At 41.7% G+C, this 25,109-nt stretch overlaps 1 protein-coding gene across 5 annotated transcripts in view, besides 3 other annotated features; it reads right to left on the reverse strand.

The window, feature by feature from the left end:
• Window positions 1–25,109, reverse strand: part of PDZRN3 (PDZ domain containing ring finger 3) — a 242,511-nt gene that overhangs the window by 88,670 nt on the left and 128,732 nt on the right. Inside the window, exon 1 of one of the 5 annotated variants that reach the window (NM_001303141.2) lies at window positions 3,355–3,532. The exons of the other annotated variants lie outside the window; for them this stretch is intronic. Within the exon in view, the coding sequence (NP_001290070.1) occupies window positions 3,355–3,438 (84 nt within the window). The 5' untranslated portion in view covers window positions 3,439–3,532. Of the gene's footprint in view, window positions 1–3,354; window positions 3,533–25,109 lie in introns of those variants that run through there. 5 annotated transcript variants of the gene reach the window in all.
• Window positions 13,440–13,679: an enhancer, noted in NCBI's record as "active region_20100". NCBI's record gives its function as "activates an Ori minimal core promoter by ATAC-STARR-seq in GM12878 lymphoblastoid cells {active_cell/tissue: GM12878}" and the evidence as "EXISTENCE:reporter gene assay evidence [ECO:0000049][PMID:35858748]".
• Window positions 13,440–14,004: a biological region, named in NCBI's record as "OCT4-NANOG hESC enhancer GRCh37_chr3:73533722-73534255".
• Window positions 13,471–14,004: an enhancer, noted in NCBI's record as "OCT4-NANOG hESC enhancer chr3:73533722-73534255 (GRCh37/hg19 assembly coordinates)". NCBI's record gives its function as "activates a minimal SCP1, AML or CMV promoter by ChIP-STARR-seq in primed H9 embryonic stem cells {active_cell/tissue: H9 hESC(primed)}" and the evidence as "EXISTENCE:reporter gene assay evidence [ECO:0000049][PMID:30033119]".

Genomic DNA, 25,109 nt, shown 5'->3' on the forward strand with positions numbered 1-25,109 from the left:
GAGGTCATTAAGGGTTGGCCCTAATCCAACATGACTGGTGTCTTCATAAAAAGGGGATATTTTGATACAGAGGGACAACGATGTGAAGAGATATAGAACACCATGTGAAGACAGGGCATTGGAGTGGTGCATCTTCCAGCCCAGGAACGCCAAAGCTTGCCGGCAAACCATCCAGCAGCTAGGAAGAAGCAAAAAAAGGTCCCCCCCCAGGTTTCACAAGGAACGTGGCCCTGAAAACACCCTGATTTTGGGTTTCTAGCCTTCAGAACTTTGAGACAATACATTTCTCTTTTTTTCAGCCACCTAGTTTACAGTACTTTGTAAATGCAGCCCTAAAAAACTCATATAGTATCTATGTAATAAATTAATCTAGGGGCTTCTAGAGAACTTTACCTTTATGACTGTAAAGCAAACCAAGTGTTTTGAGGTGGCTTGTCATCCAAGTGGTGCCTGCCATATGCATGTCTTGGAGCCGGGCCATGTCCTCTGAGGGGTCCTCACCCATGCCAACTAGCAGCTGGGCCCAGTCAGCCTTCCCTACTGGTTTTGCCCTCAAGGAGGGCTGGGACTCCCTTGCTGTCTGTCACTGGCTTCTCCCTGCTTCTTGGCCTCTCAGTCCACATCCTGAAGGCTTGTCTTTTCTAGTTCCCAGGCAAAATGGCCTCCTGGCTTTAGCCCCTTCCGTTTAGAATGTTTATTCACAAGAATTCTAATGGATTTGTAAAATATCACATCTTAGATTAAAAATTTACCATGTGACAGCTATATAAATGGGTCCAGGACAAAAAGGAAGACTATTTAGTAATCACTGAAACACAAGCGGCATTAATGTTCACACTCACCTGAAATGCGGGTAGACAGGGATAAGTTAGTGGGCTACGGGGAAAAGACCAACAAAGCCTTTTCTCAAAATGTCTTAAGCTGAAGTGCCATGCTGATTTACTATTTTTAAGATACTGTTGTGGAGAGAAATCTAGGTGAAAGTTAAAAAGTTCACATCTGGTGTTAGCAAAGCAATGCAGAAAACAACACACAGCTCCTCTCTTTGGTGAGCGAGGCCAGTGCTGTTATCTAATTATTTCAATTCTGGCTTTGTTAGAGCTGCCAGGCTGGATTTGTTTATAGGTGTCCTTTCCTTCAAATCTGCCCATAGGGGCTCACCCACGTCATTTGTCAGGGCTAAATAGCCTGAGGCCGAGAGTAGACATTTACTTACAGAATCTTCAGACTCTTTTAAATAGGCCTTTGGGATCTCACCACTGACCATTCTGTGGCAAGAGGCTCAGGGACACGTTGCTGGGTGTTCCTTTTAATTGACTAACCACGGTGTTGCTGTTCAAAATTGCTGTAACCCGTATATGCCCTCGGTCTGAAGCTTCTAATGACCTTTCTCTGGCCCTCAACACATATGGCTGAGACAATGCAAACATCATTTGGAAGATGAGTAAATTCAATAACTCAATTACAGCTGCACCAAAGCACCATTTATCAAACTCGGACCACAGCACTTTGTCTCTCTTAGCTCTCTGTTTTTCTGTGGCCAGGCATTTGGGGAAAGTTGCTAATCAATTTAGGAATGATTAAATTGAAATTTGTAACACTTTCCATTATTAAACCTTCAATCTTCATTATGGCAACTTAATGATTACATCATGGCTGAGAAAAACAAATTATGGGTAGCTGGTATCGTTCAGAAAGCTGGATTAGCAAGTAAATTGTCAAAAACACCAAAAGTTTAATATGTGTGCTTGTATAAATGACTGTTTGACATGTACAAAGGAATATCAAATTACTATTCACTTTCCAATACAAATATGCATTCAAGATATACCATGTTGGTCTTTACTGCATTCTTTGTCTGTTTATATAGATTTAATTAACGTGCAGTGAATGGACGATATCTGGGGACCTCTCAAAATTCTAGGCAAACTTGGATGTGTACACCTGAGCCTTATCACTGAAGACAGTCCAAAGATCCTAAGAGCCCCTAAAAGGAGTGTAACAGATAGAGATGCTCTCTACTTAATATCTCTTATTAAGTGAACTCTGTGTATATATTCTACAACCTTCCACTATGTCTTTTTTCCTGTGTTTCATCTCAAACTGTAGTTATAGTTCTCTGACCAAAAACTCTTTCGCAGAAATATTTTTTTTTCTCTTTGTTTTAATGACAGGGCCAATATTTGGTGCAAGTTCTCTGCAAATTCTACCATTAGCCACATCCTTCCATGTCCTGGCAGCCAACTGAGACCCCAGGAGGGCTCCATCTGTCTTTGGGTATTGACATTTTGATGGGTTCTAATTGTAGGCAGTCAAGAAAGAATTTGAAATTCAGAGGAATGGGAAGATTGTTGGTGGCAAAGAGGAAAAAAAAAAACAGAAATTGGAGATACATAGGCCCATTTAAACATTATAGGAATTATGGGGTAGGTGACGATCACAATGATGATAAAAATGGTAAGAAGAGTAAGGGAGAATTTAATCATGAATCAGATGACATGCTAAGCACTTTCATTGAAATTCAATCTTCACTATAATCCTTTGAAGTACTACTCTTTTCCTTATATGATATATGAAGAAACAGAGGCTCAGAGAAGTTAGGCACTCACTCTGAGTAAAATGCCAGGAGCAGACCCACGTGGTGAGGAACTGAGGCCTCTTGCCAAGAGCCATGGGAGTGAACCTCGAGGTGGATCCTCTGGCCCCAGTCAAGCCTCAGATGACTGCTGCCCCAGTCAACATCCTAACACAGCTTTGTGAGAGACCCTGAAACAGAACCACTCGGGTGAGCCACTCCTGGGTGTCTGACATTCAGCAACTGTGTGACATAATAAATGGTTGCTGTTTAAGTCACTAGGTGTTGGAGTAATTTATTACACAGTAACAGATAACTAATATACTTGTCACACATCTACTAAGCGGTAGAGCCTGGACTCAAACCTAAGCTTATCTGGCTCTAGGGTCCATGTTCTTAACCACAGTGCTACCCTGTCTCCCTGATGCTTCTAAACCATTCCTTTACACACCTAGTATCTTCTTTGGGGGAAAACACACATTAATTTTGCTCCCACTGCCACGTTGATAGGCACTTTCAGAAGTTGCTATGGTTTTCACCAGCCTGTCAATCACCAAAGAAAAAGATCAAAGGTAACATGGTTCATGGTACAGACAGATGGGAAAATTCCCAGTGCTTGGCAGGTGCGCCCTTCTCCTTGCTTTGATCAGCTTAGGAAGTTTACTTTACCTATGCAGTATTTCTAAAGCAAACTGCTATCGGTGGTGTATAATGAGCAAATACAATCACATCTTATAATTATCTTATTCATTAAAAAAGGTGGAGCAGATTAAACTCACCAAATACCATCTTCCACCATGGGGTTTATGTATTAGAGTAAATTTACTGAACAATAAGATCATCCTCTTGTGTTCCATCTTCATTTAAAAATTGACTCAGTGAAGCAAGGCAGCCTGCAGGTCCGCAGTTTCATTGCGATCTAAGCTTGGTTTATGTTGAGAGTACTGAGCAAATGCTATGGTTGTGGCAAGGGTGTACACTTTTAAGATCACAGAATAGGGAGGCACTGAACAAAAGAGGAGCAGCAGGAGCCCCATCCATTTCAGGCCCTGGGAAAGGTTCCCCTTGCGAAGTGAAGGGGGGAAAATGGGCCATAAGGTATTAAGAAAGGAGCAAGCTGTGAAATGAACCAAGGGGTGGATGGTGAGGTTCATGACCCTGCAGCCTCATAACACAGTCCTTCAGCCCTGGGGTGGCTAATGAAGGGTGATGCCTGGAAATTAATGGAGGGTTGTGGGGTGTGAGGGTGAAAATGAGAGCACAGTGGTTTTTCCACAGTCTTTTCTGCTCAAAGAGTCAGGCAGAATGGTTATTGAAGCTTCCAGTACTTAGATAAGTTAATATTTCACCATTATATTATTAGAATGAGCAAGTCCAGGCATTGAGTATCCAAGCATCTTCTTTTTGAAAAACAGAAGGGACCACCAGCTCTACACAGAAGAAAGGGAATAAAGACAGGCCAGTCTGGCTCCAAGCTCTGATGTTCATGAGGCAAGGGCCTTCATTTTCTTCCGTTTTAATTCAAAAGGCCCCTTTAACCAAGAAGACCCTGCAAAAACCCTCCACTGAGAGATCATACCCTAATCACATCCTTCCAAAAGCCTCACAGATATTTACGGCAAATACAAAACACCAAGCGTGCTGACTTATGAAAGGCGATTTGTTCATCTGTGAATTGAGACCTGAAACCTTTCTACTTTCCTGTTAGCTGTCATTTTTCTCCCACAAATGAAATGAATAATTCCTCCTCATGGCAGTCAATTTCAAATTCACAGGGTTCCCCCCCCAACTCTGAACCCATTATGTTTTGTTGCATAAAACCCATCTCATAAAATAAACCTCTCAAAGTTGTAAATTAAAAAATAAACATTCTTGAGAAAATGTCAAATGCAGGCCTGAGAGAAAGGCCAAAAAATCCATTTAAGGGAATACTGCAGTGAATCCATCCCCAGAAAATCGGGGGAAAACACTCAGATGGGTGATTGAATATAAATTCACTGCCTTCAGCCAGTTGGTAATGAAATGAACTTTTACCTAGGGGTTGCTATATACTTTTAGAACTGACTGTAAGATGAGCCATGCCCACAGTACTGGATGATCAAAAAATATGTACCAGAATATTAAAGTAAAAGCTGGAGTGAAGAAATGGCAAAGGAGCAAATGCAAGCGTTTGATACCATCTCAGGATATGCAAATTAGAAGCCACAGGAAACACCCTTCAAACATGCATGGTGGTTGCACCTACCCGCAAAATGTACCACAGACTGATTGCTTAGGCTGATAGGCTTTTGGTGGCAAATCCTTAATTTCAGGCAAGTTTTCCTAAGCTCAGCTTCCCACCTTCATGGTTTTGGAATGTGATTTAACATTCTTAGAAACACAGACCACTGTGGCAGTCAGCCTCCAACATGGCCTTAATGATCCCTGCCTCCTGGTACACAGGCCCTTGGATAATATCTTAGTTCGTTCTTGCATTGCTATAAGGAACTACCTGAGACCAGATAATTTATAAAGAAAAGAGGTTTAATTGGCCCACAGTTCCACAGGCTATACAGGAGCATGGCTGGGGAGGCCTCAGGAAACTTACAATCATGGCAGAAGGTGAAGGGGAAGCTGGCACATCTTCACCTGGCCAGAGCAGGGAAGAGAGATAGACAGTGAAGGGAAAAGTGCTACACACTTTCCAACAACCAGATCTTGTGAGAATTCTATCACTAGACAGCACTAGGAGGATGGTGCTAAACCATGAGAAACCACCCCCATGATCCAATCATCTCCCACCTGGACCCCCCTTCAACATTGGGGTTTACAATTCAACATGAGATTTGGGTGGGGACACAGAGCCAAACCATATCAGGTAGTATGTTCCCACACTGTCCCAAGGTTGTTGTGTGTGACCAACAGAAGATGGCAGGACTGATGGCTGCTACTTTCATGGTTAGGTTATAAAAGACACCGCATCTTCCATTTTTTGCTTGTTCTTGTACACACGTACCCTCTCTTTGATCATTTGCTCTGGGGGAAGCCAGTTGACGTATCACAAGGATCCCTTTTGGAAAGACCTATGTTGAGAGAAACTGAGGCCTCTTACCAATAGCCAGTGAAGACCTGAGGCCTTGGCAAACAGCCCTGTGAGTGAGCCGTCATGGAAGCCGACCCTCAGCTGAGCCTTCAGATGACTGCAGTACCAGTAGACAGCTTGACTGCAACCTCATGGGACTACCCAGCTAAGTGTCTTCCAGGTTTATGACCCTCAGAAATTGTGTGAGACAATCGGTTTTTTTTAAGCACTAAATATTAGGCCAATCTGTTACACGCAATAGATAACTACAGTAACTACCATTGATACCATATATTTATTGAGTTCTTATAATGTATCAGACAGCATGTGAAATGTTTTTCATGAACTATCTTGCTTAATAATGGATCATATTCTATTATGCAGGCACCATCATTATTATACCTTGATACACCTCATGGGGTTGTATTATAGATTAAATGACAAAGCATTTAGAACAGTGCCTGGCACACAGTAGGCACTAATTAAATGTTAGCTATAAAGACTATTATTATACCCATTAGGCAGAGGAGAAAACCAAGGCTCAGCAAGAGGAAGTATCTTGCTCCAGGACACATAACTAGGAAGCAAAAAATATAAATTCCGGGTCTCTCTGGTTCCAAGATCCATCTTCTTAACTCAGAATGTCATCTCTGACAAAGCAGTCTCCAATGAACAAACAGAAATGCATGCTAAAAGTGAGACAGATAATTCCTGGATTGTCCACAGTCTTGGATTAACCATAGTCTTGGATTATTAAAATTAAAGTCTGCTTGGTGAGGGCTGCTGAGCCAACAGTATTCCCTAATGTGCAAAAATGTTCTCCAACATTCAAAAATAATGAAAACAAACGCTCATGAGCAAAAAATCACCCATAAATCAAGATTTTTAAATTCCTATTTAAGGATTTATTGAATGTCAATGACATTTAGGGTATGGAACTGGCTAGATGCTGCCATGAATCCCTAAATCATCACTATCTTTGTGTATCAGTCCATTCTCACACTGCTCTAAGAAATACCCAAGACTGGGTAATTTATAAAGGAAAGGAGGTTTAATGGGCTCACAGTTCCACATGGCTGGGGAAGCCTCACGATCATGGCGGAAAGTGAATAAAGAGCAAAGGCATGTCTTACATGGTGGCAGGCAAGGGACGTGTGCAGGGGAACTGTCCTGTATAAAACCATCAGATCTTGTGAGACTTATTCATTATCATGACAACAACATGGGGAAAACCTGCCCCCATGATTCAATTACCTCCCACTGGGTCCCTCCCAAGAAACACGGGAATTATGGGAATTACAATTCAAGATGAGATTTGGGTGGGGACACAGCCAAATGACATCACTTTGAGATGAAATCAAAGCAAAGAAGGGTGAATTTGCATTACTTTGGCCAAATCCTGAATCTGTATAGAACTGTGATCTAAAACTTGGGGTTTCCAACCCCAGGACTGGTACCAGTCTGTGGCCTGTTAGTAACTGGGCCTCACAGCAGGAAGGGAGAGGTGGGTGAGTGAGTGAAGCTTCATCTATATTTACAGCTGCTCCCCATCACTTGCATCACCACCTAAGCTCTGTCTCCTGTCAGATCAGCAGCGACATTAGATTTTCATAGGAGCATGGACTCTACTGCAAACTCTGCTTAAGAGGGATCTAGGTTGTGCACTCCTTATAGAAATCTAATGCCTGATGATCTGTCACTGTCTCCCATCACCCCCAGATGAGACCATCCAGTTGCAAGGCTCCCACTGATTCTAGATTATGGTGAATTGTATAATTATTTCATTATATATTACAATGTAATAATAATATAATAATAATGTAATAATAATAATAATGTAGTAATAATAGCATTACAATAAATGTAAGAGGCTTGAATCATTCCAAAACCATCAACTTCTGCCCCGCCCAGTCCGTGGAAAAACTGTCTTCCATGAAACTAGTCCCTGGTGCCAAGAAGGTTGGGGACCACTGACTGAAAAGGTAGTTGTAATAGTTGTAAAAGGTCAGTAATAGTTGTAGAATTTTAAACTGTCAAAAGAAAGGTCCAGTTCTCTGAACCATGTTGCTTTTTTCTTCACTGCATCCCAAGTGGGGTTATAACCCACAAGAGATTAAAATGGGGCTAAAAGAAACTACATGCTAATAATGGTTAAAAACACATTTTGGCCAAGTCTTACAGAATGGATTAATCAGCATTTAGCCTTTATTCTCAGAGCAGAAACTTAGGTTCTATGTGTAATGGCAAAAGTCGCAATTACTTTTGCACCAACCTAATAATTCAGCACTGAATGAACATCTGTTCACTATCAAGACTGACTTCCATGAGCATTTAAAAGAAATGTGGCCTGAATCCTGTTCTACCTTCAATAATTCTCTGCTCCTTTGAGCTTAGACTGCTTGAAAAAGGTCCTGGCTTTTAAAGATCTCATTTCTTTAGGATACTGTCATTGTATATCAGAATAACCCAGCAACTTCAAATAAAACTGCCACTCTGAGCATCCATGCTCTTTCAGCCCCCAAGGAAGAAAAGTTAAATTCCTTCTGTTTATCAATGTTTTCAAGTTGTAAAGAGACCAATTAGCAGAATATGACCACAAGGGTCTCTCTGGCATGGACAGGCTCCTTTTTGCCAGCATACACCTTCTCAAAGTAAAAAAAAAAAAAGTGACTTCCCTTTTCACTGTTATTTCATTGCTTGGCCACATTCAATAACTCTCCAGGAATACCGAGGGGAGTCATCCACCAGCCCGCTGTAGCTCAGGCCAGGCACCTGTCGGAATTGTTCAAACCCTTCATCGGTGCATGGCTCAGCCTGAGAAGCCAATCACGATTTGTGCTGGCACAGCAGAGTGCTTCAAAATGGTCTTTGTAATAAGAGTTTGCTGAACAGGCCCAAGCCTTTCCCTTTTCCCTTGGTCTCAGCCTCCTCAAATAACATAACCAGATGGATGGAGCAACCCCCAAAAATCCCATCTCCCCTGCCTGACCCCAGCCCAGGCCTGTGCTCCCAATGCCTTGTGTGAACTCAACTCCCCTTTCACAAATGTGGTGGGGACTCACGTTCACTATAAAAGAAAAATATGATTCATACATGGCTATAGGTGGTATTATTTTGTAAAACTAAACATGTATGAGTTGCGGGGGGCGGGGGTAGATGATGAGGGGAAGGAAAGGAAATTAGATTAGCTGCAAGGGACAGGGTAGTACATTGGAATACAATTTCCAATACAGATACAGGCACCAGGTGTTCCAATAAACTCTTTTGTTTGTAATGTGATTTTACTGGGGGCAATCCAATTATGAAGAAGTTCAAGCCACCATCCTTGGGGTAGGACCTGAGGCCAGGGTCTAACTATTAATAACTCTACTAATACTCCCCCATCACTAGACATAGCAGTTTGCCCTTGGCCATTGTGACTACCTGTCAGAGAATGCCCTGATTCTAAAACCACTGGGGCATGAAGGCCAGCCTGGCTGAAGCCACTGTTGTCAAAACAGTGGCCAACAGGCTATAATGACTGAAAGAATTCAAACCTCTCAGAGGTTAGCACCTGGGGCGGGCCCTTTGTGATCTGGTTTTAACACCTCCCTTGACCCTCCATATTCTGAAGCCTCTGTTGAAATTCAAGCAGAATTCCTTGGCTCTTGTTCAAGATCCAGGCAAGAAGTCTCAGACCTTTGGTTTTCTGCACACATAAGTCTCTCGGCTTGGGAAGGCTTCCAAATTTTAGTCTAACTTCTTTGTCTGGCTCTCTTCTCAATCATGCTGACTGCATACTCCACCCTGTTCTTTCCTGGACATACTCTCTAGCCAGCTTTTCAAGCCTGACATAGAAAGTTCTCCCCTGGCCCTCCTGCCTACCCCATCACCCAGAGTGCACGCTTGCCTCTGTAAAAGCACATGGAGAAGCAGGGTTGATATTTCCACTTCTTTCCCCACCATACTGTGTGTTCCTTAAAAGTCAAGTCTTGTCTTTAATTGATTCTGTATCTCTGGCATCCGGTACAACAGCATCACCAGATGATATATCTGTCTAAAGAAACAGTGTCCTTCCCCAAGCCCTGCTCCCAACCTAGTACGCATACTTTGGCCAAAGACCCTTGCATTCATATTACTTTCTTAACATGTTCCATAACATTTTCTCTCCCAACAAAATAAGAGCACAAGCTGTTTCTATAATTTTTTCTGGTCACTGATGGCTTGTTTATATATACTATTCCATTTAATGCCAATCATCCTAAGAATTACATACTCATATTATTCTTCATTTACAGCTAGGGAATTAGGGCTTGAGTAAGTGATTGCCCACAGTCATGTTTAGTAAATGGCAGAGTTGCAATGTGGCCCCAGCCTGTACTGATGCAGATACCCGTGCTCTCACCTCTATGCATACAGACTTCTTGCTCTCTAATGATTCCTACATGGCTCTGAGCCCTCTGACACAAAGACTATGTGCGGTCATTAGGCACAGCAGAGGGTAAATGGGTCACAGTGCTCAGCCAGGAGTTTATCACTTCAGAGACTAAACTTTTCCCTTGACTTAGAAATAACCAAGAATGAAGAGAATACAATTTATTAAAATTAATAAAATGTGTGAGGGCAGGATTCTTTTTTTCTTTTTGAGATGGAGTTTCACTCTTGTTGCCCAGGCTGGAGTGCAATGGTGTGATCTCGGCTCACCGCAAGGTTCAAGGGATTCTTCTGCCTCAGCCTCCCAAGTAGTTGGGATTACAGGCATGCGCCTTCATGGCTGGCTAATTTTGTATTTTTAGTAGAGATGGGGTTTCTCCATGTTGGTCAGGCTGGTCTCGAACTCCCGACCTCAGGTGATCTGCCCACCTCAGCCTCCCAAAGTGCTGGGATTACAGGCGTAAGCCACCACACCTGGCCTGAGGGCAGGATTCTATCTCCTATAAGACTGAAAGCTGGACACAGAGATACCCATTGAGTTCATGAGCAGCAAACCTCTTACTCTTATTTCTTGCCCTTAAAAATGGAAATGTTCAAATTTATAAATAGGTTGTTCATAAAACTTAAAGAGTGTAATTTTAAAAGTATAATGGACCTCAACGATTATTCAATCATTTTATAGAAAAGAACAGTCCAGAAGAGAGAAAAAGACAAAAAAAGAATTCCTCCTTCCCTTCCAAAAAACAGAAACCATCCCTTCGCACCCCCACACAAAGCTAGCTAGTGGTAGCATTAAGGACTAAACACAGATGTCCTAAATCACAGCCTAGCATTCTTTCCATTATGCGAAAATGGCAAACAAATGGTTTTCAACATTAAGAGCATCTTTGATAGATTGACAGTGGCTGCCTGGAGTGATAACACTGAGAGCACTCTGGAGCCATGGGTGGACTCTGAGGATAAGAATGTGATGATTAGTTATGTCTGACGCAGGTATGAGATAGAAGCAGGGAAGAGCTAGCTGCTCCCTTATCAAGTTTGTTTTTCACAGAACTGTGTCTATTTAATTGTACTGTATTTATAATTCATTTCAAGAACAATTATATGCATACCACCACAGGTTTAGTTCATTAGATTGTTTCCCTGTTTCTAAGAGAAAACACATTATGATATAAACCCTGGGCCCATCCTTAAAGCAAAGCCACAAAGAAAAGGAGATAAATCCACTGGAGAGTCTCAACTCTTCATTCTCTTCTAAAAAAAATAGTGGACAACTTTAGATAGACACAACCTCTCCTACGCGTTTATAGTGACTGTCATTCATCTAGGCGTCTCAGAATGGCCAAATCACACATTTACTACCTGGCTCATCTGAGGCTTTTGTTGTTATTATTGTATTTGTTTTTAAATCTCTGACAGTCTTCAACTCCATTTTTTAAAACATCATGTACCCCAAAGGTGGCAATTCTCCTCTGTCTCAGAAATCCCCTAGGCAAGCTCAATTAAATACCTAAACACACTTTAAGGAGTTGGGTAGTGCCCTTGGATATCCTCAGGGCTGGTCTGGACAGCCCCCCAGCAACAAAAGTAAAGGACCCCAGGTTGCTATAAGACACCATTACATAGTGACACAGAATTTATGGGATCTTTAACTTACACTGTTTCTGAGGACAGGCCACAACCTGTTGTTTATTCAGTGCAGATTCAGAAGCTATGCTACTTGCTTTGGGTCAATCCAAAGAAGGCACTGCTCTCTAGCTTTCATCATTACATATGCAGATTTTTCCTTGGACACCAAGGGGCTTAGGAAATTGCTTTTGATGGTACTTATTTTACCGTAAATTAAACTCTAGTGCCTTAGAGAACAGAAGAGAACAAACACGCATGCCTTGCCTTTGCTTTATAATCCAGGGTAGAAGATAAAACTTTCTCCGTACTTCAGAGGAGGTCAATTAACAAAGAAAAGATTACTGTGATTGTCACAGAGATACCAGGCATCTGAGTGGCTGCTCAAAGCACTCAGAAAGGAGAATGTCACCAAGAAAAATCTACAAGGATGAAGGGAAGAGGCTTCATTTTGAAGCAATTTATAGGAAGCCACAGAGACGTTCCTTCTTGAACTTGCTTTTTCCCCATTTGTAAAGTCAACATAATGAAGATGCAAGAAAGAGCAGTTGACTTAAACCCTTTTAGTTAGATGCATTTTTAATGTAAGCTGGATACTCTTGTCAACCATATCTTCACAGTGCTGTTGGCTGTCCCAGGGAGGAAATGTGCCCTGGGTTCACAAATGCTGAAGTGTTTACAGAAAAGAAGAAATGTATTTTTGCATTTTCCAGATGCTATCATGATGCTCTTTCAGGTTTCCTGCCATTCTCTCTTTTCTGGGGAAAGTGGCTGCCACATAGTTAAGCAAATATATACTTATTTTTTAAGTGGCATATATGGAAGTGACATAAATTAATTGCATATGCTACAAAGTGAGGTAGATAATATGAAATCTAGAAATGACAACTACAACCCAATCAGTGAACAGGTGAGGTGGGTTTAATTGACCATACCAGGAAGGGTAGCCCAGAAGGAGGAGACAGTGAATGCAAAGGCGTGGCAGCAGAACATTCCCAGATGTATTTGGGAGGCAGTCTGGCTGACGTTTGGGTTGGGCAGAGCCGGCTACAGTGGGAAGTGGTGTGTGTGAAAAAGGCTGTGAAGGGCCTTGGAGGCCAGGCAAAGTGACTAGAACCATATTCTTTACTGGGAAGCCGTCAGAACTTTACCCATTAGGAAAATATATATCAAATCAAGGTTTTAGAAAAATTTTAATGCTTGAACGTATTATAAAAGAAAGGACTGCAGGAAGGAAGAAAAAAGTGGAGGGACGTAGAATCTATGGAAGGAGGTATAACAATCCTGGCAAACATGATGCGGGGGCCTGGGGTGGATAAGGAGGGGATGATATGAGAAATAATTTAAAGTTAGAACTGGAAGGAATTGACAGCGGGTGTGTGAGAAGCAGAGTCTAAAGCATCTCTAAGGTGTCCTATGTTAAGAAAGACTGGAAAGGCAAAGAGGAGGAGAAGGAGAAAGAGAAAGTGCAAGAGTTTGGATTCATATACCTTAGGTTTGAGGTATATTGACATTTGAGCAGAGATGTCCCAGATCAGGGTTCTGGAGCAGACGCATGGGTGATTTGGGAGTTGCCAAAGTCATGAGATTACCCAGTGTATGCACCAGAGTGGTGAGGTCAGAGGATCATTTTCCAATGGAGGGGGGTGGTTAGTTCGATGCCCCAGAGAACAGAGGGAAAGGTGAGAACTGACAGTATGTGTTGGATGTGATGGCAGAAAGGCCCTACAAATCCTCTGACAGAAGAGCTTCATGGAGAGCTGGGGGAAGAAGATAAACTATAGCACAGATAGTAAGGAAAGAAAAGAAAGCTGCAGCAGATTGTTCTTCCAAGCTGACTAGTATTAAAGGATAAGAGAGAAATGTAGCAGTACCTTGAAGAGGACTAGGTATGGCTTTGGGAAGGAGTGAAATACAGAAATATACTCGCTGCTCCTAGTGTGGTCTACAGACCAGCAGCACCAGCAACACCCATGAGCTTCTTAGAAATTCAGAATCTCAGGCTCCTCTGCAGAGGAAATGAATCAGAACTTGCCTCTTAGCAAGATTCCCAGCAGATGCGTTTGCATATGAAAGTCCTAGAAGCTGGTATAAAGGAGGCCTGGGCTTTCTTTTTGAGCAGACTGGGAGGCACCCGAAACCAGGGCGAGCCAACCTTCTCCTAGAGGAAGTGAGATGAGATTAAAATAGAGTAAATTTAACTTTAAAATGAAACCAGAAGGAGCATTCATCTATTCTAACCTTTCTTCCTTTGCCCCAAGTAAGCGACAAAAACAAGCTTTTTATTAGTCTCAGTTCTCTGACTTGTAAAACAAGAAGAATGAAGATACCTGTCTCAAGACTGTTCTGAGCATGAAATATTAGGTCGGTGCAAAAATAATTGCGGTTTTGCCACTGAGTGGCAATTACTTTTTCACCAACCTAATATTACATGATAGACACACATAGCCCCAGAAAAAAATCTGACATACAGATTCAGCACTCAGGAAAATTACCAATTAACTTATAATTGGTAATATCAAAATAATTTATATTATTTTATAATATTAATATTTATAATATTAATATTTTAATAGCATCATCGTGGAATAAGAAATACTTTCCTCAAACTCTTTTTACTTCTTTACAAAAGAAGACCCTTACAGATTCAAACAAATTTTGAAATATTTTTCAGTGGTTTAGAGCTTGCTCCTAATTCAGATTCTTCGTGGTTGAAGTAGTTTTCCTACTACTACTTGGCTACTAAAACTTCTGGCAGCTTCAAAGTCAAATACTACAAAGCATTGCAAAGAATTAAGCTCTTATTTTAGCATAGGTGAGAGTATTTTAATCTTCCAACAACTTTCTGAATGAGATCTTGGTCAAGTCCAAACTTACTGGTGGCAGGAAATGCTAATTTTAAACTATAAGACGATGAAAAATCATTTTTCTAATCCAAGCACCCAAAGAAATGCAAGTGGCATGCAAAGAGTGACAATTAAATAAGACAATTTCAGGGAAACTGGCAGGTAATCTGATATGTGTTAGCCTATCCATCTCCACTTGTAATGTTCATAAAGAAATTTGGAAAAGCTTACAGGCAAGGCAAAGATGATAAAAACCTCTAATTACAACCAAAAGGCAGTCCATATAGCATCTCTATCAAGTAATTAACAACATGCCTGACAATGATTGCACGTGACTTGCTGTTTCCAATTTCTTTAAGTGAATTTTAAAGCTATTAGCAATGCCCTTGCCAGCACACAGCATGGAATGCGGCTGAGCAGATTTTGTGCAAAAAACCTTTATCTTCATCAGAGGAAGGTAAGTGGATAAAGCTGACAGGAAGCTGGGAAAGAGCACGCTGCAAGAAGAGACTGCATAGTGAAGGAAACAGAAAAATAATAAGCACATTAGCAGACAGTGGGGGCTGGGAGATGCCAGTGGCTGGGAATGGCTCGCTTTTAGGTCAACAGCTTGAATTTGACTCTGATGGGCAATAACTCCAAGTTCTATGGCCTGTGTAAGAGCCCATGGATAGGAGGGGTGGGATTCCAATCCAGGCACAAGTGTACAGCTGGGGATTCCCATGGCTTTGGAGCTGGCAGGGCACTCATAGAATGGAGAAGAGCATGAGGTGGAAGGAAAAAAAAATCAATCCACCAAGCATTATGATTCTTAAAAGCCTGAAAACAGCCCCATTAAACCAGCCAAAAAATAAACAAAAAGCCATGCATTTGTTCAATGGTTACAGAATTTCTGTGTAGGGTAATGAAAAGGTTAAGAAATAGAAGTGATGGACGTAAGACAACGTGAATGTAATGTATGCCGCTGAATTGTACATTTAAAAATGGTTAAAATAGTAAAATAATAAGTATATTTTACCATAATTTTAAAAGAAGGAAAAAGTCATACATGCAATTTGTCAGGTCTATGAAAGTTTCCTCAATGTAGCATTGGTTAAGTTGGGAGGCAGAGCTGGAAGATATTTTGTTTTGTGATTATTTGCAAAGCTGGCGGTAACTGATTGGCATAGATAACAACTAAACGTTATCATCGGACATATCAAAGGTCAGATATTTTATTTCATATCAGGAAAACTGATTATTTGGAAAGGACTGGAGAGATATAAATAAATCAACCTAAGAAACAGCCTTAAACTTATGGCCTATTATAAGCTAAATCTTTGTCTAGTTAAAATGTCTTTTTGCTCCAAAGTTGGTGCCCACTGTATTTTACACCTTGTCTCCTCTTTCCCCCAATAAATTAGTTAAGACATCTAAATATTCAAAACTTCTCATCTACATGAGAATCAAATGGATTTTTATAGCAATATAATAAAAAATCCACAATATTAATTGACTTTTAATAGGGGCATCTAAATGTCAACTTGCTGGATTTTTTTTCAATAACTTCAATATCTCTAAATTTATAGGTATTTCCTACATGATAGTGTCAGGTTCTAAAATTCAAGCCACTTTCTAGAAAAATTTTTTTTAACTATAATAAATTTAAGTGGCATTTAATTCTGTGCCTTATTATTAGAGGGTCACGTTCTTCTTTAAAAAGGAAGCAAATGATTTTTTACCTCTGGGGGGAAAAGCCACCAATATAAGTACTTAAATAATAAAACGGAGCAGAGGAACCTAGACAGTCATTTTAAACGTTCACTCTTTACACCTCCCAGGAGAAGGCTGTCTTTGCTTTTCTATGTTTTCCGAGGGGTGGACTAATCAGTTCATTACAATACACAAGATGAAGATGTCACAATTGCTTGATCCCAGCTAATGACTGCTGGGACTGTCCAGGCCGTTTCGAAGCTCTGTTCTCCTGTGACCCTAAGCTTTCTTCTCTGGCTAAAACTTACTTTCTTTTTTTTCCCCCATAAATTTGGGACAGATATGCCCCATTAAATAGCCAAAACAATCACAACCTTGATTTTCTCCAAGCACCTATAAACAGCTCTTATGTAAGCTGAATAATTCCTGTGTCACTATTTGAGGCAAATGCAGAACATTTTTGAAACCCATCTGACCTTTCCAGCAATTTCTTGCTCTTTGCCAGAAGCGGGGCCTTTGGCTGCTCATTACTTAAAGCATTCACCTTTAAGGCCATTTCACAACAGGGCAAAGACTCCCAGAAACATCACCTAATGAGAACCCTAGAAACCATTTTCTTATCTCACAGCAGTGTGTAGGAGAAAAACACATTATATGCCTACTGTGGGCTGATATTCCCCAATTTTAGATAAGCTCTTTTCAATAAGGTTGCAACGGTGGCACTAGGCTTTTATATTTCAAGGGGGCAAATGAAAGGCACAAAGTGTTCTGAGTTTTAAATTAACTGCCACAACAGGTGCCAGCACAGGTCTGATAGCTACCAGATGAAACCCCGTTTTAAGGAAACAAATGAACTAAAATGTAAATTTTTCTATTAAAGGTTTCCTTGGGATTAAAGCCTCTGCCTTTTAGGAAGAAATTAACCCAAGATGGGGAGGAGTAGAAAGATACAGCTACCACTTGGGGAAATTAAAGGCTATGATGATAAAACTTACCCTGTCTCCAAATATCTGCCTGCCCCTATCAACCTTTCCTACTATCTCCCATGGTACTCTCCTCCCTAGTCCCCAGGCCCCAGTCACAAAACCTTCTTTCAGTTTTTCCAATGAGCCAGGTTCTTTCCTACCACAGGGTCTCTGCACAGGCTGTCCCTGCTGCCTGGAACAATCTTCCCAGCTCTTCCCTTGGATGCTACCTTCTCATAGCTTGGGACTTGGCTTCAATGACTTGTCATCCAAGAAGCCACCTGCCTACCATCTCTACAAGTCTCTCACCTTCTCGGCCTTTCTTTGTCCTGACCTCTTTGTTTATGTCTTACTTAGCCCTTAGAAGAAATTATATTCATAGGTAAGGGGAGGCATCTTCCTATCTTTCTATTACCAACAGGGCTGGCTTCGTGCACTTAGGAGAACCCTGTGCTTGGGGCTTAATGCTCTAGTGGTTGTCTTAAAATTCTAAATAATTTTATCTTAAAATTTGTGTTTTGTAAGTGAAATTTGATGGGATCATGGAGCATGCACTGGGGACCTGGAGGCTTGGCCCCTCCTGGCCCCCTCCTCCCCATCTCTGCTGCTGATTTCCATCCTTGGTGGGGCCTGGGAGAGGCGAGGGTTGGAGTCAGGTGTGTGTGCCTGTAGTGGGTGGGCATGACAGTGCCACAGTGTGTTCGATAGGCCTAACGCATCCTGGCACATTGGTTGCCATATCTTTGGGCATCATGCATTGGGTGTGGATTAGGGCTGCAGGCCCTTGGGATGGGGGAGATACCTGGCTTGATTTCCCCAGCCCCAGCCAAGGCACAGTGCACTGAGCAGGTGACTAGCAGGAGAGGTACCCAGCAGCTAGTGGGCAGGGTGCAGCTTCTTCCACTTGTGCTATATTTCCTTGCCTGAAAATGCATGGCATTAAATAGCAAATAGCAGGACAGGGAGACAGAAAGATCATGAAAGAAAAGGAAAAGCTTTATATTTTCATATCTTTAATGGTACCTTTTCCTGCTTTTTCAAACAACGGATCCCCATATTTTCATTTTGCACTGGTCCCTGCAAATTATGTGGCTGATCCTGTTTAGCACTGTATCCTTAGCATCCAGTACAGAGTAGATACTCCAACTCTGCTGAAGAAAACCCTCTTTCTCCATTGTCTATCACAAATAGTGTAAGATAGTGAGAAGTGAGAGGAGGACTTCAGAGGAGTTGCCCTGCATAAGACTAAATACAACATCAAGGCTGTCCTAGCCATGCATATGGGCAGTTTCTTTTCTTTTTTTTTTTTTTTGAGATGGAGTCTCATTCTTTTACCCAAGCTGGAGTGCAGTGGCATGATTTCGGCTCACTGCAACCTCCGCCTCTTCGGTTCAAGCGATTCTCCTGCTTCAGCCTCCCCAGTAGCTGGAATTACAGGTGCCCACCACCATGCTGGGCTAATTTTTGTATTTTTAGTAGAGATGGTGTTTCATCAGTTGGCCAGGCTGGTCTCCAACTCCTGACCTCCAGTAATCTGCCTGCCTCAGCCTCCCAAAGTGCTGGGATTCCAGGCGTGAGCCACCACGCCCGGCCGGTAGTTTCAAATATTCTCACAGGCACCCAAAACGGTGATGGTTCAGAAGGTCTCTCAGGCATCTAAACCCACAAATGTGATTACAAAATAATGATCTGATTTTGTGAGTAGCTTGTGGAATCAGCCAAGTTACTTATAATCACATCTCTTTATGTGTGAATGTATGGATTGACTAAAAAATCCTCTGATGAACTGATTTTAATTGGTACGATCTGCTCTGCAGAAACTTAAAGACATTATTTTTTTCCAAACAACTAATTTTATCTTCACGCCCCAGCACACCTGCACCCCTGGTGGGGCACACCTCTCCCTCTGAAAGGTGGCAAAAGCAGCAGAGCCTGCTTTCCCTTGGGCTTAAAGGGAGCACCCCATACAGAATGCTTGCTTGGCTGAAGTTAATGCTGACCGTTCTGCTTTGGAGACCAACTCTCACTGCTGCACATGGAAACCCAAGACCATGTACGCCCACTACGAAGAGAAATCACACTGTGCTCCTGTTAGGATTCTTATTGATAATGTACAACCAGCACATTCTGACAGTTTTCAGCTCCATATTTGACTGAAAAAGCCTCCCAGCCCCTCTCAACACCCACTGCAAGAGCAGATCTTGCTCCTTTTGGGATGGGCATCTACATCACGGCAAATGTGGGCAACAGCCCCACAGCTGTATTTGTACCAAAGATCAAAGGTTTTTTTTCTTCACCCATTCTCCACCTATAAATTCAAATGTGAGCAATGGCAACAAAAATGGGGGGTATGGGCTTATTCTTTACTGCTGAATCAGCACAAAATCCCACTTAAGGGGAAAAGGCTGAACTATTCAGTCATAGTCACATAAAAATGACCTTTCTAATGAAGGCCTGGTTCTCTGGCAGGTAAGCAATGGCAGACCCCATGCCTGCCTCCTGAGTAAGGAATGCAGGCAGTGGCTACCGCTCCCTGTATCCCTGAACTTCAAAGGAATTCAAGTGACCTAGACCAGCTGGCTGCCAAAGAAAACAGTGTCCAAGGACTCCCTGGCCAGAGATAAGTGCAGGCACAGCAGTCCTTCAACGCACGGGGCTTCTATTTCCTGCCCCTCTCATGTTGAAACTGCAATATCAGGAGACAGCAAAAGCCTGCCAGGCAAGCCCTCCAAGTTCAGGGTCAGTTCAGCTCGCTCCAGGAAAGCTCAGGGAGGCTGCTGATTCCCAAAAGCCCCATTTGCTCAAGCTCATAAGTGCGACCCTCTGGCCTCCTGGCAGGCAGGCTGCATAAGCCCTTGTACCACGCAAGCTCCTGCTCAGGTTACAGAAACTCATATTTTAAATCGGTGAAGTTCTCTCTGGGGTGCTTAGGAAGAATTCTTGCAGCCCATGTCATTCCCTACTTCAGGGAGTGTACTAAGATTAGCCTATAAATGACTCAATGGTTCACCAGGGGCCCCTTTCATGGCCTCCCCCATGGAAGATGCAGCCAGGAGGGGAATCTTGATATCTGAATGCTTTTTGTACCACTCCTGGGTTCTGAGCTGGCTCTACTGGCCACAAACCTGCTTCTTGGAGCCCATTTCAAGAAGATGCAAATTTATATTGCCAGTTAGGTTTTGCATCCATTGCTCAAATGCAGATTTTAAACTGAGAGGAGTATGAGGTCATGGGAAGAAGAGCCCTTGTTAATTCAAGTAGACAGACTTCCAGTCAACAGGAAGAGCAAAAGAAAAACCTTGTGTGGAAGGTTCCTTTTTTTTTTTTAAGAAGCAGGGTCTTCAGGGTCTTGCTTTGTTGCCCAGGCTGGAGTGCAGTGACACAATCATAGCTCACTGCAGCCTTGAATTCCTGGACTCAAGCAATCCTCCCACCTCCTACAGAGTAGCTGAGACTACAGGTGCATACCACTGTGTATGGCTAATATTTAACTTATTTTTTATAGAGTTGGGGGGTCCCTTTTTGTTGTCTAGCCTGGTCTTGAACTCCTGGCTTCAAGCAATCCTCCTGCCTCAGCCTTCCAAAGCATTGGGATTACAGGCATGAGCGACCATGAAGCCAGAAGGTTCTTGATTGGACCAGAGGTGCAGGGTTCACACGTCTCAGGGTACTCCAAGGCTCTAGCAAGAAATGAATTTAGGGACCTCTGCCTTTGATATGTGCTTCTTCACACCCCACCCTCTCTAAAGGAAAAACACACAGACCACTGAAAAGAACACTCTTAAAAAGATTCTGAAAACTAGCAGTGAAGAAAGTTTCAACTAGTGCTTCTCATATTCTCTAACTGTAGAATCCCTTTCCTGAGCATATCAGGCCCCCAAACCAATTTCAAGGGGCCTCTGAAATTTCTAAATTGGTTTCCAAAATAAAATTATCAAAATATTTCACAGAAAAACCCAGATTTCTGTCTTCTCGTGCAAAAATGTGGATGTGCAGGCAGCTGTGGGCTTGTATCTCCTCCTGGGGATAACTAGGGCTCTGGAGTAGCTTATATCATAGGCTGGGCTGTGTGCCTGTGAGCTCGCTACGGTCCCTGGTCTCATTCCCTCTTGTCCTTTGCCTTCTTGGCCCTAGGGGGCATTTGAATTTATGACCCTTGCCTTGAATATGCTCTAAAAAATATGGGACTTAACAATTATCCAAAGCACACGTGAAGGGTATTCATTGGATGTCTGGGTGCATGGTGCTGTTCTCAGTGATCTGGGGCTGCAGAGGTGTTTAAGAACACCCCGCTTCACAGGAGCTTAGAGAAGGGTGAAAAGATAAGGCACATTCAGCAGAGAAGCACCCAAGGAGGCAGTGTGGTACTGAGGCCCTGCTGCTAAGCACTGGCATTTGGACAGCTAGACAGGAAGAAAGGGCTCTGCTGTTCCATAGGCCTGTGGGGTGACTACAGTTAACAGTACTGTGTATTTCAAAATGGCTAGGAGAAAGGATTTTGAATGTTCCCAGTGCAAATAAATGATAAATGGTTGAGGTGGTGGATATGCCAATTACCTAATCTGATCATTACATATTGTATGCATGTATTGAAATATCATATGTACCACATAAATATGTACAATTATTATGTATCAATTTTTAAAAATTAAAACAAAAATAAATGAGTACTCTTAGGGTTAGACTAGATGGAAGGCTTTTCAACCTTTTTTTTTTTTTTTTTTGGCCCTCCTTACACTTTGGAGACTCTTCCCTTATGTGAAATTTTATAAAGAATGAAATCTGAAGGAGGTGGGAGAGGGTATGTCCGGGCCCCCATCTCCTTGGTGTTCCCTTCTTATGCCATAATTTCTCCTTGGCCTCAGAGGCACCTTTACTGCAGGTGAGGGCTCTTTCAAGCCCAGATGGAGCCTCAATGGCCTGGGTGACACCCAAGGTCTCTCTAGACTCTTATGTTCTACCTGTCTTTCTGAAAGCCCCATGGAGTGGGGAGGACAGCCATGACATAGTAAGAAAAGGAGAATTCCCTAGCACCTGACTGAAAAAAATAACTGGGAAGAGAGACAGTGACAATACACAATACACATGACCTCACGTACATGGAGCACGGTGACCATGAACTGTAACATTAAGTATCACCTCAGAAGCATTCCAAACCTGGGTGACTGAGCGCCCCAGTAGATGAGGAGGAGCAGGAGGCTGTGTGGATGTTCACACACCGCCCCCACCTCCCCCAAGAAGATAAGCACTCATGGAAAATCAGAGAGACTGCAGACTCAAATCCCTGGTATCCCTGTAATGTGCACCTCTTGTTTCTGCCCGCCCTCATCCACTCTTGGTAATAGCTCATTTCCACTAGGGCAGCCATCCCTCCTCTCCTTCTCTCAACAGGGTTCCACTTAAGTTGATTCTATCACGACTAGTTTTAGTGATGAAGAGGTGCCTCAGGCCTGGCTAGTCAGATTGCTGATTGGTTAAGGGATGGCACATGCCCTAAACTGGGCCAATGGGTGACCTCCCTATGATTTTTGCTAGAATTATCAAGAAAAGGACTTGCTTTTAAGCAACCACTGGGATTGCTGGGCTGTGACAGGATCAATCTTGGCGGTGCTAGGGGCCACTTTCACCATGTTTGAGAAGAACGTGCCCCAAAACCAAGCCAACAGTGTTTAGCACAGCTAAGTAAATTGAAAGAGACCAATCAACGTTGGATGACCAGATTTGAATATTTGGCTCTAGCTGAGTCTCAAGCTAGATATCCTTGTATTTTTCCATTGCTTTAGCCAATGAATTGTCATTTGCTTTTCGCTATGTTTTGTTTTCTGCTGAGGCCAATTTGGGCTGGGCTTCTGACACATGCATTCCAGAGAGTCCTGCCCGATAGAATCTTTCTTCACTGACCACCACTGTAACAAGTTAGTTAAGTACCTCAAATTCATACTGAGCCTTTCTTACTACAAAACAAGATCAGAATCAGAGAATTAAGAAGTAGAAGGCCATTTACATTATCTCTGTAATAGTAGTTACACATCTTTAACACCACTCATTAGAAAACTAATTTTGGTCCATGTCCAAATCTAACCATTCCCTAAAATAACTCACTTTCATTGGTTAACTGTAAAGCTCAAGGAAGGACAGTCCTAACATATTTACATAAAGCTACTCCTGAAAAGTTGTGTGAATAAAATCTACATCTGCCTTATGGAAAGTCATTTGCTGTCATCCAAAACACCAATAAAGGAACTTATATACCTAGTATAAAATTTATCAAGAGAAATGTTCATAACTTACGGAAGAGTATTTGCCAAAAATAAGTTTCACCGCAATTGTATATAAATTGTTTTTATTGAAATAGAATATTTAAGAGCTGTTGGTTCTGGATATAATTCTTTCACTTCTTTAAAAAGCTTAATTTATTAAGTAATTTTTGCCTGCCTATGATCTTTTTCTTCTGCATTATTTGAAGGACACTTATGTAGTCTCAGTATCAAAAGATAATATCTAAAGAGCACACATAATTTTTTAGAGAATGAAAAACATGATTTCTGGTTCCTTAACTTTCCACAGTATAGAAGATATAGCTTACTTTTCCAACACCCAATCGAGAAAACATGTAACTTGAAGAGATAGTGTTACAAGGGAACAGAAAACCAAATAATGCATATTCTCACTTGTAAGTGGGAGCTAAACATTGGGTACTCGTGGACATAAACATGGCAACAGCAGACACTGGGGACTACTAGAGGGGGGACAGAGGAATGCAAATGCTGGAAAACTGCCTATGGGGTATTACTCACTATGTGGGTGACGGGATCAAGCATACCCCAAACCTCAGCATCACGCAATATGCCCATGTAACAATCACTTTACAAAATGTAACAATCACTTTACCCTGAAAAACAATCATTTTACAAAATCATTTATTGAAAAGCTTCTTTCGATAGCAAGATTCTTTCAGCAAGTGGTTTGCTTTTTAAAAGAATTTTTAATTATGGAAGTAAGAAACAAATATATTTTGCTTGTAAAAAAAAATTAGAACATGCTTAATATAGCTAAAATTCCTTTTGGTCATCTCCTCTTCCAAGGAGAAACCACTGACATCTACCTGGGGTATGCCCTCACAGATCTTTTCACTTACAGATTTATATTGATTCATGTATATGCATCTTCCCATAAATGCCATCAAACATCATGTATTATTTTGTAACTTTTTTTCCTCTGGACAGCATGTCTTAGAGACCTTTCTTATCCGTGCGCATATATTTGTCTTATTATTTTTAATTCTATACTTTATTTAATTATTCTGCTATTGATGGACACTTAGGATGTTTCTGATTGTCTTTTTCCCTATTACAAACAATGCTGCAATGAACATCGAGGCATAAGCCTCTTTACACACATAAGGCTAGAACTTCTCTAGGACTGATTTATGCTCACGTTTCCAGTGTTATAAAACACAAGGCAGACTTTTATGATATTGGCAATAGCAAAAATGCAGTGCCAAAGAAAGTTTATGTAAATGAAAGTTGTTTATTTTTCTCCACTTTTTAAGGATCAGATCACTCTTCTTGCTTTTCAAGAACTGCTATATCTTTAAGGAAGGTTGCCTAATTAAGATAGAAACCATAGCTGGTACTCAACATCGATTTTTTACTTGATCTAATTCCCTACCCTTCCCCCTATCCCCATCCCCCCTGCCAAGATTTTCAGCACCATATATCTGTTCTTAATTGATGTGTTAATTATAAGGATTATCTGTTCATCAAAGTACAGCCTGAAAGACTAAGTCTCAAGTCAAGATATGCACTTGAAAAAAAAAACTGCTCCATATTGATGGACTTCATTTATTTTTAAAGTGAAATGTATGATACATACAAAATAATGCACACACGGTATATACAGTACAAAGAATAAAAAATACCCTGTACCCA

This window comes from Homo sapiens, chromosome 3, assembly GCF_000001405.40.
Source record: "Homo sapiens chromosome 3, GRCh38.p14 Primary Assembly".
Taxonomy (NCBI): domain Eukaryota; kingdom Metazoa; phylum Chordata; class Mammalia; order Primates; family Hominidae; genus Homo; species Homo sapiens.